Source organism: Homo sapiens, chromosome X (genome assembly GCF_000001405.40).
Source record: "Homo sapiens chromosome X, GRCh38.p14 Primary Assembly".
NCBI lineage: Eukaryota > Metazoa > Chordata > Mammalia > Primates > Hominidae > Homo > Homo sapiens.
The window spans coordinates 4,375,899-4,391,980 of NC_000023.11; the positions used below are offsets into that span (position 1 = coordinate 4,375,899).

The 16,082-nt window shown below is 38.6% G+C and overlaps 1 annotated feature.

The window, feature by feature from the left end:
* Window positions 6,163–7,004: an enhancer, noted in NCBI's record as "OCT4-NANOG-H3K27ac hESC enhancer chrX:4300102-4300943 (GRCh37/hg19 assembly coordinates)". NCBI's record gives its function as "activates a minimal SCP1, AML or CMV promoter by ChIP-STARR-seq in naive H9 embryonic stem cells {active_cell/tissue: H9 hESC(naive)}" and the evidence as "EXISTENCE:reporter gene assay evidence [ECO:0000049][PMID:30033119]".

Below are 16,082 nucleotides of genomic sequence, written 5' to 3' on the forward strand. Positions count from 1 at the left end.
ATAAAGACTGTGCAACAGGGCCACAAGCCAAGGAACATCTAGGGCTACCAGAATCTAGAAAGGCAAAGAAAAAGGCAAAGAAAAATCTTTCCCTAGAGGCTCAGTGGAAAGCGTGGTTCTGGTAACACCTTGATTTTGTGCTTCTGGTCTTCAGAACCATGAAAAAATAAATTTGTGTTGTTCTAAATCACCCAGTTTGGACCAGGCACAGTGGCTCATGGCTGCAGTTTCAGTACTTTGGGAGGCTGAGGTGGCAGGATCGCTTGAGCCCAGGAGTTCAAGACCAGCCTGGGCAACACAGAAAACCCAATCTCTACAAAACGTTAAAAAATTGGCCAGGCATGATGGTATGTACCTGTAGTCCCAGCTACTTGGGAGGCTGAAGCAGGAGAATAGCTGAAGCTTGGGAGGTCAAGGCTGCAGTGAGCCATGATCGCACCACTGCACTTTAGCCTGTGTAACAAGGCAAGATCCTGTCTCTAAAATAACCAAACAAATAAACCTAAAAACCTCACTCAGTTTGTGGTAGTTTGCTGTAGCAGCCCTAGCAACTAATACAGGTGGTCTACATGTCTTCTTGTGCATCAGGTAGGAACACTTCTAAGGGGGGAAGCTAGCAGTCCAACTTCTGAGCCAGAGTGTGTAACTCATTGTTTTTCAATTTTACTAAATAATTGTATATATCTCTCCCTACTGGTTGTAGCAATGTTTATTAAAAAAAAAAAAAAAAAGGATGAGAATCACTATTCTCTTGTAATCTTACACGTCATAGAGTTAGACTTTACATTTTTTATTCCTTTATGTATTTTTAATTGACAAATAACGATAGTATATATTTATGAGAACTTTGTGTGTTTTGTTTTGTTTTGTTTTTTTGAGACAGGATCTTGCTCTGTCCCCTAGGTTGGAGTGCAGTGACATGTTCATAGCTTGCTGCAGCTTTGACCTCCAGGGCTCAAGAGATCCTCCCACCTCAGCCTCGTGAGTAGCTGGGACTACAGGCACACACCACCACACCTGGTTAATTTTGTTTATTTTTTGTAGAGATGGGGTCTTGTTATGCTGCCCAGACTCGTCTCAAACTTCTGAGCTCAAGTAATCCTGCCACCTCAGCCTCCCAACAGGCATGAGCTATCATCCCAGCCTGAGACATTTAAAATCGATTATCTTAGCAATTTTCCAGTAGACAATACATTGTTGTTAACTATAGTCACCATGACTACAATAGGTCTCTTGAAATTATTCCTCCCATTTAACTAAACTTTTGTATCTTTTGACCAACCACTATTCTACTCTCTGCTTCTATGAGTTCAACTGTTGTAGATTTCACATATAAGTGAGATCATGCAGTATTTATCTCTCTGTGCCTGTCTTATTTCACTTAGCATAACATCCTCCAGGTTCATCCATGTTGTAGTGAATGACAGAATTTCATTTTTTAAGGCTGAATAGTATTCCATTGTGTGTAGGTATCACTTTTTCTTTTCCAAAGATGCTTAGGTTGATTCCCTGTCTTATCTGTTGTATGCAGTGCTGTGATGCATATGGGAGTGCTGATTTAATTTTCTTTGGCTGTATAGTGAGTAGTGAGATTGCTGGATCATATGGTAATTCTCTTTTTATAGACTTTACATTTTGTTAATTACATGTGTATAAGTAAATGTTATTTTCTATCATTAGAGAGATGCATAACATCTTTCCATATGTTTACTGGATGTTTCAATGTCATTGTAAGTAATGTGCTTATTCTCCTTTATGTTCTATTATCATTTTGTCTAATGTTTTAAATTGACTTTTAAGAACTATTTACATATAATTGGTTTTATTCTTTCGCCATTTATATCCCTTGCAAATTTATTTGCACATTTCTTGTTTTCCAGATGTGTTTAGGTAGTCTTTGACCACAAGATTTTTTTATTTTTTTGAGATGGAGTCTCATTCTGTTGCCCAGGCTGGAGTGCAGTGGTGCCATCTCGGCTCTCTGCAACCTCTGCCTGTCCAATTCAACTGATTCTTGTGCCTCTGCCTCCCAAGTAGCTGGGATTACAGACATATGTCAACACACCTGGCTAATTTTTGTATTTTTAGTAGAGATGGGGTTTCACCATGTTGGCCAGGCTGGCCTCGAACTCCTGACCTCAGATGATCCACCCGCCTAGGCCTCCCAAAGTACTCGAATTACAGGTGTGAGCCACCGTGCTGGCTTGACCACAAGATTTTATTTCAAAATCCATTTTATCATTCTTTCATTTAATATTTGCACTTTTTTCATCTTCTATTATAAAAATTATTCAATTCATAAATTAATTTTTTTGAAGTTTTAGTTAGTTAATGTATATTTAATTTATTGTGAGTAGCTATTTTGTTTTCTTTTCCATATGATAACCAATTGCCTCACATTTGTGGAAATTGCAAAATTTCATCTTTTATTTATAATACCATGTGTCTATATTTATGACACATATGTCTTTCAATGACAATCTGTGCATACATCTCATTCTATGCTCTCAAATTTTTAATTTTCTTTATATTCTTAAAACAGTTTGCACTGTATTAATTTGCTAGAGCTTCATAATAAGTCTATTTATGATTACGTAGTCAAGTCCCATGAAAAATGTGCATGGTGAATTCTGTTTCCAAAGATGTCCCATTCTCCCACCTCATAAATTCTTTAGCAATGTTGTCTTGACATTAAATACTGCAGTTCTTTCTTGAAACTGGGCTGACCCTAGGCTCTGCTTTGATCAGTAAAATGTGGTGAAAGTGAAACTATGTCATTTCCTAAGATGGGATTCCAGACATCTGCAGACCTCACCTTTGCTGCTGTGAACACTCTTTGGAACTCAACCACCATGCTGTAAGGAAGCTCAAGCCATCATGAGGAGAGATTCACATGGAGAAGAACCATAGACTCTGGCCAGCAGCCTCAGCTTTGCTCTCCACTAACAATCTCTCAGCTGGACACATGAGTGAAACCTTATTAAACCTTGTACCCCAGACAAGCCATCATTTGAAGCAGCTAAATAAATGCCCCAATGTAACCACCCAACAGGCTCACCTTGCCCTCTTGCTAGACAGAGCCAATTTATCAAGACAGAGGAATTGCAATGGAGAAAGAGTAATTCATTCAGAGCTGGTTGTGTGGGAGACTGGAGTTTTATTGTTACTCAAATTGGTCTATGTGAGCATTCAGGGATTGGAGTTTTTAGGGATAATTTGGTGGGTAGGGGCTCAGGAAGTGGGGAGTGCTGATTGGTTGGGTTGGAGATATAATCAAAGTGGGTCAAAGTGAGGTTTTCTTGCTGTCTTGTTCCTGGGTGGGATCGCAGAACTGGTTGAGCCACATTACTGGTCTGGGTGGTGTAAGCTGGTGCATCCAGTGCAGGGCCTGCAAAATACCTGAAGCATGAATCTTAGATTTTACAATAGTGATGTCATGCCCAGGAGCAATTTGGGGAGGTTCAGACTCTGGCAGCCAGAGACTGCCTGGCCCCTAAACAGTAATTTCTAATTTTGTAGCTAATTTGTAAGTACTGCAAAGGCAGATTGGTTCCCAGGCAAGAAAGGTTTTTTGTGGGGGAGGGGCGGGGAAGAGCTGTTATCAATTTTGTGTCAGAGTTAAATTATGAACTAAATTCTTTCTCAAAGTTAGTTCTGTCTATGCCCAGAAATAATCAAGGACAGGTTAAACGTTAGAAGCAAGATGGAGTCAGTTAGGTCTGATCTCTTTCACTGTCATAATTTCCTCAGTTACAATTTTTGCAAAGGCAGTTCAGCAACCATCACCATGAATAGTAGAAGAACCTCTTCCCCCATTCTAGCTAATCTCAAACCCCTGATCTATATAAATTTATGAACAAATAGTGTGGTTGTCTTCAGTCACTAACTTTTGGGCTCATGTATTATACAACTATTGATAACTGAAACTATTCTATTTGATTTTTTTTTTTTATAGTCTCACTCTTTTGCCCAGGCTGGAGTGCAGTGGCATGATCTCGGTTCACTGCAACCTCTGCCTGCAAAGTTCAAGCAATTCTCCTGCCTCAGCCTCCAGAGCATCTGGGATTACAGGCACCCACAACCACACCTGGCTAATTTTTGTATTTTTAGTAGAGACGAGGTTTCACCATATTGGCCAGGCTAGTCTCGAACTCCTGACTTCAAGTGACCCACGTGCCTCGGCCTCCCAAAGTGCTGGGATTACAGGTGTGAGCCACCACACCTGGCCTCTATTTGAAATTTAATTGAATGTGCACCTCACAAATAGATGTAAGATCAAGAGAGATTTGCCTCTAAAATATTGACTATCTCCATCTGTGCTTATGATACCAGTTTCCAAAAAGGAAAATTAGTTTTCTGTGCCTTGTCTTGGTTTACAGACTTATTTACTCATCAGCAAACTTCATGGACCCTTTTATTATTCTAATGATAAAATTCTTTATTCTAATTCCTTGTACATTATTTTGTATTATTATCCAGCTATCCCTGTTATATATAATGACAACATTTTCTTTACCTTTATAAGCAAATAACCCTTCATATTTCTTCTTACATTTTGAATGTTTTGAAGGACTCCTGAAGATCCAAGGATCCAGCACAAATGAAACTTATTGAACAAAAAGATGCATAGGATACCAGTTTCAATAGAGAACCGAGAGTAAGGCTTGGGGTGATGCTGAAAATCACGCGTGGTCAAACTTCTTATGGGTCTATCATTCCCACGCCTGCTGCTTAAAGAAAATGCATTGTACTTTAAACCAGCAATAAGTTTATGGATTAATTAATCCAATTAGAACATTTTTCTTTGCCTAGCATACAGTTTTTGCAATTTTCCCTATTACATTCAATCAAATAAGTAATAACTAAGTGCATCTGTAGTCTGGAAAAGAAAATGGAACAGAAAGAGAAGGGGTAAAGGTAAAAATTCCAACAGTCCCTTTCCCCACAAGAATAACCCCATGCCTGATACTTGTCTTAGGAACTTGAAGAATCTCTCTGAGTCCTGCTACATCAGCACTTTTGGGATTAATCCATGGGTGTTTGAAAGGAATGCATTGTAAGTTTGGGGAAATGTTTCAGATTATCTTTGTTAATTGTGTCTTTGAAATCCTGCATATTTCAAATATGTTCAAATTAACTTGAATTACCAGTTTCTGAGAAAAGATGATGAATGTCTCCAACTACAAAAGGACTTTGACAATTTGCTCTTTAATTTCTACATTGACTGCTACATGGCTATTGAAGTTTCTTAAAGAATCATACTACATATAATTATAAAATAATCCTCTTTTCTCAGTTACGTTTTCATCCTGGGTTTTATATTAATTTAATAGTTACACTTGTTTTTTTATTTGCCACTATTTACCTGGCATTATGTTTCTATTGCTTTACTTTCAACTTTTTATTTGTTATTTATGTTTTAAGTATTTTTAAATTAAATCATATAGCTGGATTGTGCTTGTCTTATCCAACATAAGAATGTTTTAATTTTAATGGGGTATCTTCTTTAATATGCATTTGTTAATGTATCCATTTGATCTCATGCTTTCTCTTATATACTAAGTGGCATATGAGAGTTTATTTTGTCATTCCTGTTATTATTTTTCCATCCTTTATTTTTGCTGAACTGTGTGAGTGAAGTGGTCTCTTTGTGCCAGATTGCCATATGCAAAGTCATTTACATTTACATCTGTTGTAGACCTAACATCAATAAAGACGTGGATATTTTCTTTTAAAATATCGTTAGGGCTTAGGTCAATATTAGGAGTAAATTATCATGTATTCTTTAACTAATGGACTTATTGGAATATGCCAGAATCCACTAACACCTAAAAAAGGGTAGCACACTGAAGTATTGATAATTAAGACTCAGAGTCAAATTTCTAAGTAATTTTCCATTTCTGTCAGTATTCATTAGAATTAAATTTTAATATGTGCATAAGCCTTAATCTAATTAGAACATCCAGAAAAAAATGTTTCTCCAGTCAGTCATGGGAAGAAAAAGATTGGCATCATTACCCAAAAGACAGCAAACTATGAAATCTAAGAGATTGTTTACACTAAACTTATTTTCACATTTCCTGGCACTGCATAATTCAAACCCACTCTGTGCTTACTGGGATACTTTCATCTCTAACATGAAGAGGAAAAATATAACTTTTTAAAAGCAAATCTTCAGGTTGGAAGGTTAGGTGTTTGCCTGAAAAGCCATTCATTTTTGCTTCAGCAAAGCAATTTGCAGTAGAGAATGATTTCCATCTCAGCTAGAAGATTGGAAAATGAAACTGTAAGTGGGAGTGTTTTACTGGGCATTCTAGCCTTGGACCCTGGTCATGGCGGGGAATGTGATGATATTTTAGCAGCTTTTGTAATCCTACACTGATTTTCAGAGGATATGTTTGGGTTTTCTGCCATTTAACTCTCTGGTTGGAATCTGAATCGGGATGAATCTTTAGTCAAATTTAAATTTTGGCTCATGAATGGAGGGCAGACATTTTTGTAATGGTTCCCAAATTACGCAAAACTCTTCAAATATAAATGGTAATTGGCTGATTTCAATCTGAAAGGAGTTGGTATTCACAGGCAACCATTCCCGACTTTCTTGGGGTGTCAGTAGAATACAAACATTAGCCAAGCAGTGGCCTCAAAGGCCTGTGTATTTCTACAGTCACAGTGAATTCAATGAAATTGAATTCTGCAAGTTCTTTCTTAAAAGTGTCCATTAGCATAGGTGTAAATAGAATAACTACTTTCCCTTGGAGGTGAAAGTAATTTGCTGTAGGAAAAAAATATTTTCTCTAACTTCAATTAGAAATCTCTTCTCTCTCTTTGATTAAAACTATCTGCCTTACTAATTAATAATTTGAAAGATGTTGAGAAGCATTGAGCTTTGAGTAACAATAAAAGAGCACTCTAGTATTGAAAGAAGATAGCTTTCAGAGTTTGAAGGAGCAACATTCTTTGAACTTGCATACATATACCTAGGAAAATTAAAAATGACCATCTGTGCAAATGGTTATAAACTCAGCTGGCAGTGGAATCCTGGCACAGGGGTGTGAAGAATTTACTCTGAATCTCTGGGCTCTTTTTCCTTTGCTAACTCACTTACATCTCTAAGATTCAACTTTTTTTTTTTTTTTTTTTTTTTTTTTTTTTTTGCGACAGGTTGTCACTCTGTCGACCAGGCTGGTGTCCAGCAGCATGATCTCAGCTCACTGCAATCTCCATCTCCCGGGTTCAAGCTATTCTCCTGCCTCAGCCTCCTGAGTAACTGGGATTACAGGCACCACCACCACGCCTGGCTAATTTTTGTAGTTTTAGCAGAGACGGGGTTTCACCATGTTGGCCAGGCTGGTCTTGAACTCCTGACCTCAAGTGATCCACCCACCTCGGCCTGCCAAAGTGCTGGGATTACAGGCTTGAGTCACAGTGCCTGGACTCAACTTTCTTTCTTTAAATTTTATTTTATGTTCTGAGGTATATGTGCAGGATGTGCAGGTTTACTACATAGGCACACATTTACCTAGGTTCAACTTTCTCAGTTGTAAAAAGCAAATAAATTATAGGAGAGTGTTTATGCACTTTAGATAGTTACTGAATTATTCACTATTTTGAATGTTGTTCTAAATTTGTAGAGGAACTAGATTTGGATTAGTAAAAGTTACTGGTGAGAATTTTTACTCAAGAGTAGCATTTTGGAAACTCATTGTCCAACAAGACTGAAGTGAAGGTTCAAGTGCAGCAACAGCAGAGAGGTAATGAAACCACTTTTGCAAAATTCATGACAGTAAGAGAATTATGACTGTGAAAGAGATCTGACCTAACTCCATGTTGCCTTTAATCTCCAAACTGCCCTTGGTCATTCCTGGGCATGGGCCAAGCTAACTTTGAGAGAACTTTAGTTTATGGTTTAAATGATAATAGCCCTTCCCAAAATTAAACTGCCTTTGTAAAACTAATGAAAGGCAACCAGGTTAGGAGAATGAGAGGTGCCTGAAGTCTGCTAATATATAGGTGATATGGTTTGGCTGTGTCCCCACCCAAATCTCATTTTGAATTGTAGCTCCCATAATTCCCACGTGTCATGGGAGGGACCTGGTGGGAGGTAATTGAATCATGGTGGCAGATTTTTCCCATGGTATTGTCATGACAGTAAATAAGTCTCACAGGTCTGATGGTTTTATAAAGGGGAGTTCCCCTGCACATACTCTCTCTCTCTTGCCTGCAGCCATGTAAAATGCACCTTTGCTTCTCCTTTGCCTTCTGCCATGATTGTGAGGCCTCCCCAGCCATGTGGAACTGTGAGTCCATTAAACCTCTTTCCTTTATAAATTACCCAGTCTCAGGTATGTCTTTATTAGTAGCATGAAAACAGACTAATACAATAGATGGAGTTAAAACATTACCAGCCATTATTATGAAGGTCACAAGATTTGCAAATTCCCCAAATACTCCTGTAAATAACATTGCCAGGCCAGCTGTCAGAGCCCCAGCATCAGGAATTGGTCAACTTGCAGGTTGGTAAGAAGAATTTACCGACAACAGTATAGGTTTGAAAAGGAAAGTTCTATTAGATAGAGAGAACACTGTAGCAGAGTGCAGGGGAGGGGCACCTTAGTGAGAGAGGACTGAGAGTGCTGCTGCAGTTCATAAGGTATTTATGAACCTTAAAGGGGGAGCTGAAGGGTAATTTTCATGATAAATGATTACATTTGTAGACATGTTGGTGCCTTAATGTGGGCAAAGGTTGCACAATAAGTTTTGATATGCATGCATTTAGAGACGTATAGAAATTCTAGTAACTTATAAAAGTTGAAAGAGGCCTGGAACCAGATGCTGACTTTAGATACCAGGGAAGTTTAATTACTTCTAAATCATCTAGATGAGTTTTGCCTCTGGATGGCCTGTTTGATGGTCACCAAGTGGTGTTTGCTCCCTTCTAAATTCCTCAGAGAGGGAGTTTTTGTCTCCAGGACCAGTTCAATGGACCCCAGGTGATTTTTGCTCTCCTAAAACATCACTATTGTGTAACCTAAGATTGGCCTTTTGCGAAGTCTTTTCAGACTTTTGCATTTGTGATGACCAGATGGCTCCATCCAGACTCAAGATTCATGACTCAGTGGTCCTGTGGCCCCACCCAGAAGGGGACTCAGCACACAAGGACCGTTTTCCACACCCCTCTGATTTTATCCACAACCAATCAGCAGCATCCATTCTCTAGCCCGCTGGCTGCCAAACTATCTCCAAATTTTTGATGAGGTTGATTCGAATAATAATAAAACTCTGGTCTCCCATTTAGCTGGCTATATGTGAATTAAACTTTCTCTATTGCAATTCCCCTGTCTTGATAAATCAGCTCTATCTGGGCAGCAGGAAAAATGAACCCATAGGGTAGTTATAGGAAGGTAGCAGGAACCTCCAGATTAAGACCTGATGCCAGGGCTACATCACCATGACATCAGGCATGAAAAAAAAGCAGTCAGTCTCTTTTGACCCTGAATAATTTGCCAGGGCCAAATGGACTTGAGTCAACTGGCAGTGCATAGGACTATGGATTCTGCAAAATGGATATGGCTTAGAGAGAAATGGGATGGCTATGCACTGATCAGCAATTCCTAGATAAGTTTGCAATCATAGTAGATTCATTGTGCAATGCACACAGCTAGTCAATATGGAGGGACACTGGATTGCAGCACAGAACGACAGCCTCCAAACAAACAGACAACAGAAAGCCTCAAATTCATCTCTCTGTGGAATTTGGTGCTAGGGATTTTAAGGGTTTTAGAGTGGGCTGAAGTGTGGAGATGGTTGATTGGTGGGAGACTGCAGCATAGAGTCATGGGACAGAGAGAGGAAGAAGCTGTGTTCTCATGCTGATCCCGTTCCTCTGTGGGCATCTTCAAATGGTTGCTGAAATTCAGGGCCTGGAAAACACTTTAAGCAATTCTTAAACAACAGCCTTATGATTCTAATGTCAGAGATTCTGTCTATAGGAGCAATGAAGATGTAAATCAATTCTTAAACAGTCTTATGATGCTAATATCGGAAATCCTATCTATAGGAGCTTTGTGGATGCAGATGGTAAGTGTCTAGTGCTGCAGGGCTTTTAGCAACAAGGAAGTGGGCCAAAGTGCAGCCTGATTCATGCTTAATTATAAGTGTATTTATGTCCAGAACCTGGGATGCAATTCTTGTTAACCCTGTGGGGATGGTTTCTGCAGTGCAGAGGACCATGTATCCTGTAACATGGATACAGATTAGAGAAAAATGGGATGACTATGCAATGATCAGAGATTCCCTGATACATTTAGAAATTGTTGCATCATAAGCTGGGAGCAAGCTAGCCATGATGAATGAACAGCCCCCAAACACAGTATCAGTGTCTGTTTCATTGCTCCTGCAAAGTTCCACATTTAGATTGCACTTATGGCCTTGACCCCAGGAGGAACAACAGGTAAATAATGCACCTGGATAGCCCCAGAGTGACATCCCCTGCATCGGTGTCAGCTCATTCTAAGGGCAGTTTCTGACCTTGAGGCTACCCTGCATCCTAGCAGTTGGCTTGCTCTGTAAGCCTGTTTTTGAAACTGCCTTTTGCAAGATATATGACAGTGAGAGAAATCTAACATAGCTGACTACGTCTTGCTTTTAACCTTACAAGTGAACTAACTTTGTTAACTTTAAAGAAGATTACAATAATCCCTTCCAAAACTAACCCCTTCCTTGCTTAGGAACAGAAGACTAATGGAAGGCCACAAGGTTAGAATTATGGGGACGGGGTACCTGAATTCAGCTAAGATGTAGGTATATTTAAATGATAACCAGCCATTGCTCCCTAGTTTGCCTTTCTGTAATCTCTTACTGCCCAAGAGTCATTTAGCTGGAGGTCAAAAGATTTTTAACTTCCCCAATTGCTTCTATAGATAGCATCATTATTGTGAAAACCTAAGATTTGTCTTTGAGATATTTTTCAGACTTTTGCACTGTGGCTAAACTAGTGACCTGACATCAGCCAAACCTACCCAGGCCCATGATTCATGACTCATCACTCAACTAGTCTTGTGGTCCTCACCCGGAGGTGGAATCGGCAGACAAGAACCGTTTTCCACACTCCTGTGATTTCATCCCCAACCAATCAGCAGCACCTTTTCCCTAGCCCTTTGCCCACCAAATTATCCTTAACCTTTTTCCAGTTTAGAAAAAAATAGTACAGCTTTCTGCCACCACTCATTTAATTTTACACAAACATGCTCTTTGAGGCTGAAGCAAATCTGACTGATTTTCAATGTGAAAATAAAATATAAAAGCTGTTCTTGGAGTTATTTCTAAAGAGAAATAACATCAAAGTTGTCTGAATTATCAAAATTGTCTATTTTTAAAAAATTGGATTCATCAGATTAAACTCCAGCCAATAACTGTTGGAGAACAATGTTAACATCACACATAGGAATGCTATGTCTTCTAGGATTTGACGTTTTCAGCGATCAAGAATTACTATATTTAGTAAATGGAAATACCATTACTACAAACGAATGCTAAAAATAGAATGATGTCTTTTGTTTCCAAAGTTGATACACTAGAGCAATGCAAAAAAAAAAAAAATAATAAAAGCAAGATACTTCATAGCAAAGTTATCTCAGGGTAAATGCTGCAAGCACCGCCAGTGAGTATTCTCAGCGCAAACAGGAAAAGGTTAAAAACCCTAGTTTCTGAGCTCTCAGGGAGGCAGATTTGAGAAATGTGTCCCATCCTTCCACTGGGCTTCCTTGCAATAATTAAACTCTCTCTACTACAACACCACTGTTTCAGCGAATTGGCTTTATCTGTGCAGCAGACAAGAAGAACCCACTGGGTAGTTACACTTTCTTACAGAATCCTTCTCAGCCTGTGAGTGAGAGCCTGGCATATGTCTCGCGCTTTTGCAAGAATGGTGTCCTGCTTTTTGACTTCTAATCCAGCCATTGGCTGTTCCTTCTCCTGAGATTATATGTGACTCAAATCCTTTCTGCATATCATTCGCCTTCTGGAATCCCTGGCTACTGACCCCAGCTCACTGTTTAAGCTTCTAGACACTGGCGCTTCCCTTACCTGGTGTGAGCTTGGGACACCTGGTTGGACAAGCTAGAAATGACAGCTAGCTGGTTTATTCCAGCCTGCGTTCTGTATCATAGTGGGGCTTCTTCTTGCTTTCGTTTTTTTTCTCTCTTTTTGCTGGTGTTCCTGTTGGTCTGAGCATATAACTACTACTACTGTAAAAGAAGAGCTATACTAAAGGGGAAGCACTGAACCCTAGAGAGATCAACGCACCGAGATGACTTTCACATCACCTGCAACATACATCTTATTTATTGGCTCCAATAGTAGCCTTCTTACTACCTTACAGACTCAAAGTGGAAGTAAGATGATGGAAGTAAGACATCAAAGTGGCTCCTTTGATGCCAAAAGAGTTCTGTTCCTGGACTGAGTTCAGATGGCGAGTTTAAGCTCCCTCTATGAAGGTCATATAACTTGTGTTAGAATAACTAACTTGTGTCCATCCCATACACTGATTAAAATTTTCAATATGTTTAATGAGGGAGAGCTACCAGTGTACCTGCGAAACATGCGTTTTGTCATGTGTTTGTCCTTTTTCTGAGACAGCCAACAATTGTGATGGCTTTCAGTTATATTTTGGGGGAGCTCAGCCAATCACTGGGGGCTACACATAATTCAGACATAGAATGCATATGTTTGTGAGACTCTTATTTGATCTCATTGGATGCCCTCATTTCCTGTCGTAACTCAACTGATTCTACTCCAGGGAGGTCCAATTTGAATATTGAGAACATATTTCAGGGAAAAAAAAAAGGACAATGTTGCTACCAGATCATTGGCCAATGTATGCTGCCATACAAAGAGAAGGGTTTAAAAAATTATTTATTCATTTATTTTTGGAAGAGACTCTTGCTCTGTTGCCAAGGCTGGAATACACTGGTGCGATCCCAGTTCACTGCAGCTTTGACCTCCCAAGCTCAAGTGATCCTACCACCTCAGCCTCCTCATTAGCTGACACTGCAGGCCACCACACCCAGCTAATTTTTTCTTTTATTTATAGTGGAGATGGGGGTCTCACTATGTTGCCTAGGGTGGTCTTGAACTCCTGGGCTCAAGCGATCCTCCTTCCTCAGCCTCTCAAAGTGTTGGAATTACAGAGGTGAGCCATTGCACCCAGTCAGAGATGGTTGTTTATAAATATAAAGGAAGAAGCATTCCTGAGAGAATGCTTAATGAAGACTTGCTTTTTGACTATCTTTCTGTGGATGGTCAAATCTATATAAGCAATGTGGTGTACATCTGAAGGTGTCTTATTATGCATATTATTGATTCTAGAAAAAGTATCAATTTTGTTTATTTCAATAGGTTTTTGGGGACTAGGTGGTGATTGGTTACATGAATGAGTTATTTAGTGGTGATTTCTGAGATTTTGGTGTACCCATCACCCAAGCAGTGTACACTCTACTCAATGTGCAGTCTTTTATCCCTCACCCCCCTCCCACCCATTCACCCAAGTCCCCAAAGTCCATTGTATCATTCTTATGCCTTTGCATCCTCATAACTTAGCTCTCACTTATGAGTGAGAACATATGATGTTTGAGTTTCCTTTCCTGAGTTACTTCATTTAGAATAATGGCCTCCAGTTCCATCCAGATTGCTGCAAATGCTATTATTTCATTCCTTTTTTATCACTGAGTAGTATTCCATGGTGCGTATGTGTGTGTATTTATTTCCCTCTCTGTCTATATGTGTGTGTGTGTGTGTGTGTGTGTGTGTGTGTGTGTGTATATCTCACAATTTCTTTATCCACTTGTTGATTGATGAGCATGTTCCATATTTTTGCAGTTGTGAATTGTGCTGTATAAACATGGGTAAGGATCTGAAAAATTTTCTGTTGTGAGAAGAGATGTAAATATTCTTAGGCAATAATAAATTGATTTAAAATATCAGGGGATAAATTTCTTATTCCTTTTTATAAATAAAGGGATAAGAAAAATAGCAAATAAAGACTCTATCCATGTTATTCAAATGGCCTCACCAATCTCAACTTATCTTTTAAATTAGATTTTTAAAAATTTCCAGTGTTCCAAAAATGTTTATTTTAATTGATATAAATTGCACACATACTATTCAATAACCTGCTTTGTTAATTCATTGTGGTAGAAAAAAATCACAACACAAAATTTACCATCTTAACCATGTTTTTAAGTATATAGTTCAGTAGTGTTCAGTAAATTTACACTGCTGTTCAAAAGATCTCCAGAACTTTTCATCTTGCAGAACTGAAACTCTGTATCCAATAAACACAACTGCTCTGGGTCCTCTTACCACATCACCTAGTAAATACCATTCTGTTTTCTGTATCTATGACTACTATTTTTTTCTTTCTATACACATATGATTTTAAGATACTTTCATATTGCTATGGGGATTTTTCATGCTTTGCAACTTCTCTCAGTTTCTTCACACATGAGGTAAAGCCGATATTAGCTACTTAATGTACTGTTGCTACAAAATTATGGTCTGGGCCACATTAAATAATATACGTGAAAGTACTTTGGATACTGGGGAGTTACCGAGACATATAACTAGACATTAATTCTATAGAGAAAATGAAATATGTTTTGCCTGTCCCAAATGTGTCAAATTGATTAGAAATTGCAAAAAATTAGTTAGTAGAGCCTTGGGAATTTATTAATTGATTCTTACTTATGGTATTTATACTTCTGTTTGCCCCATACTGATGTCATTAAATGACTACATGCAGATTTTCTGTTGCATAAATGTACTCTTGATTCTTCAGAGTTTCTGACACTGTAAAACAAGTACATATACTTTGTTTTACAAAAAGATATATATATATATATATATATATATATATATATATATATATACACACACACACACAGGCATTTCTCTTTTGTTGCTGGGGATATACATACACACATATACATATGTGTGTGTGTATGTATATCATCAGCAACAAAAGAGAAATGTCTTTTTAATATGGTTGCAAATGCTGCTATGTTTAAAAATATTTAAATATTTTCAGGTTGAAAAATAGAGTTGAAATCTTTGGCAGAATAATCACCATATTCTCTCACACTGTAAAATCGGTTAATGATACAGTTCCAAATGCTGCCTGTATCATGAATCCATTCCTCTGTGTCTGCCTTCAGCTATTTTAATCATCCTAACATGAAATAACTTGTAAAAAGATGCAGTCCCATTCCTGTCACCTTGCTTTGAATGCTTCTGTAATGGTTTTCTAAATTATTTTTCTAACCAGTTTTGTGCTAAAATCTGCTACAGAGATGAGGCCTTGGAGCAGGGATGCTGGCCACCCATGGAGAAAAATGAGACCTGTGTTCCAGGCTGTCAGCAGAGTCCCGGAGGCTTTGCCCATGGCTGTGGTTCAAACTGTGTTCCACAAATACTTGCAACTGTCTGCAGGGCCTCGGAGACATGGGCCAAATGGGTTTCCCTCCCAAATACCCAGGCATGACACAACTTCAGCTTTCATCTAATTATACACTGGACATCCACACCGTTTCACCTGCAAAGGGTTCTACTGTTAAAATAAATAAACAAAATAAACCCTCTCTTTTATAATATGTGAACTTTAAATTAAAATAAAAAAACAGATTAGCAACGCAAAGTGTCCCTTGCACTTTTTGCAGCCATTGATACATTGCATACACATCAATTCAAGGTACCTTGTATTATCACCCTTGGAGAGGGTGAAAATCCCCGACTACGGTAGTCTCAATTTATTCTGCCAACAAATATGGATTGATGAATTTCTTCTGTTGTGGGTATTAGAAATGGAGCAGCAGGTAACCGCACAGGGGCCCCTACCCTTATGTTCCCCAATTACCTCATTTCTCTGTTACAGTCCAAGTAAGATTTTAATTCCTTTCCCTTAAAATCAAAACCTCTTCCTAGTATTTGTGATACATCACAAGCAAATTATTTATTAAGAGTCGCTGTCATTTTTTTTTTTTTTTTTGAGATGGAGTCTCATTCTGTTGCCCAGGCTGGAGTGCAGT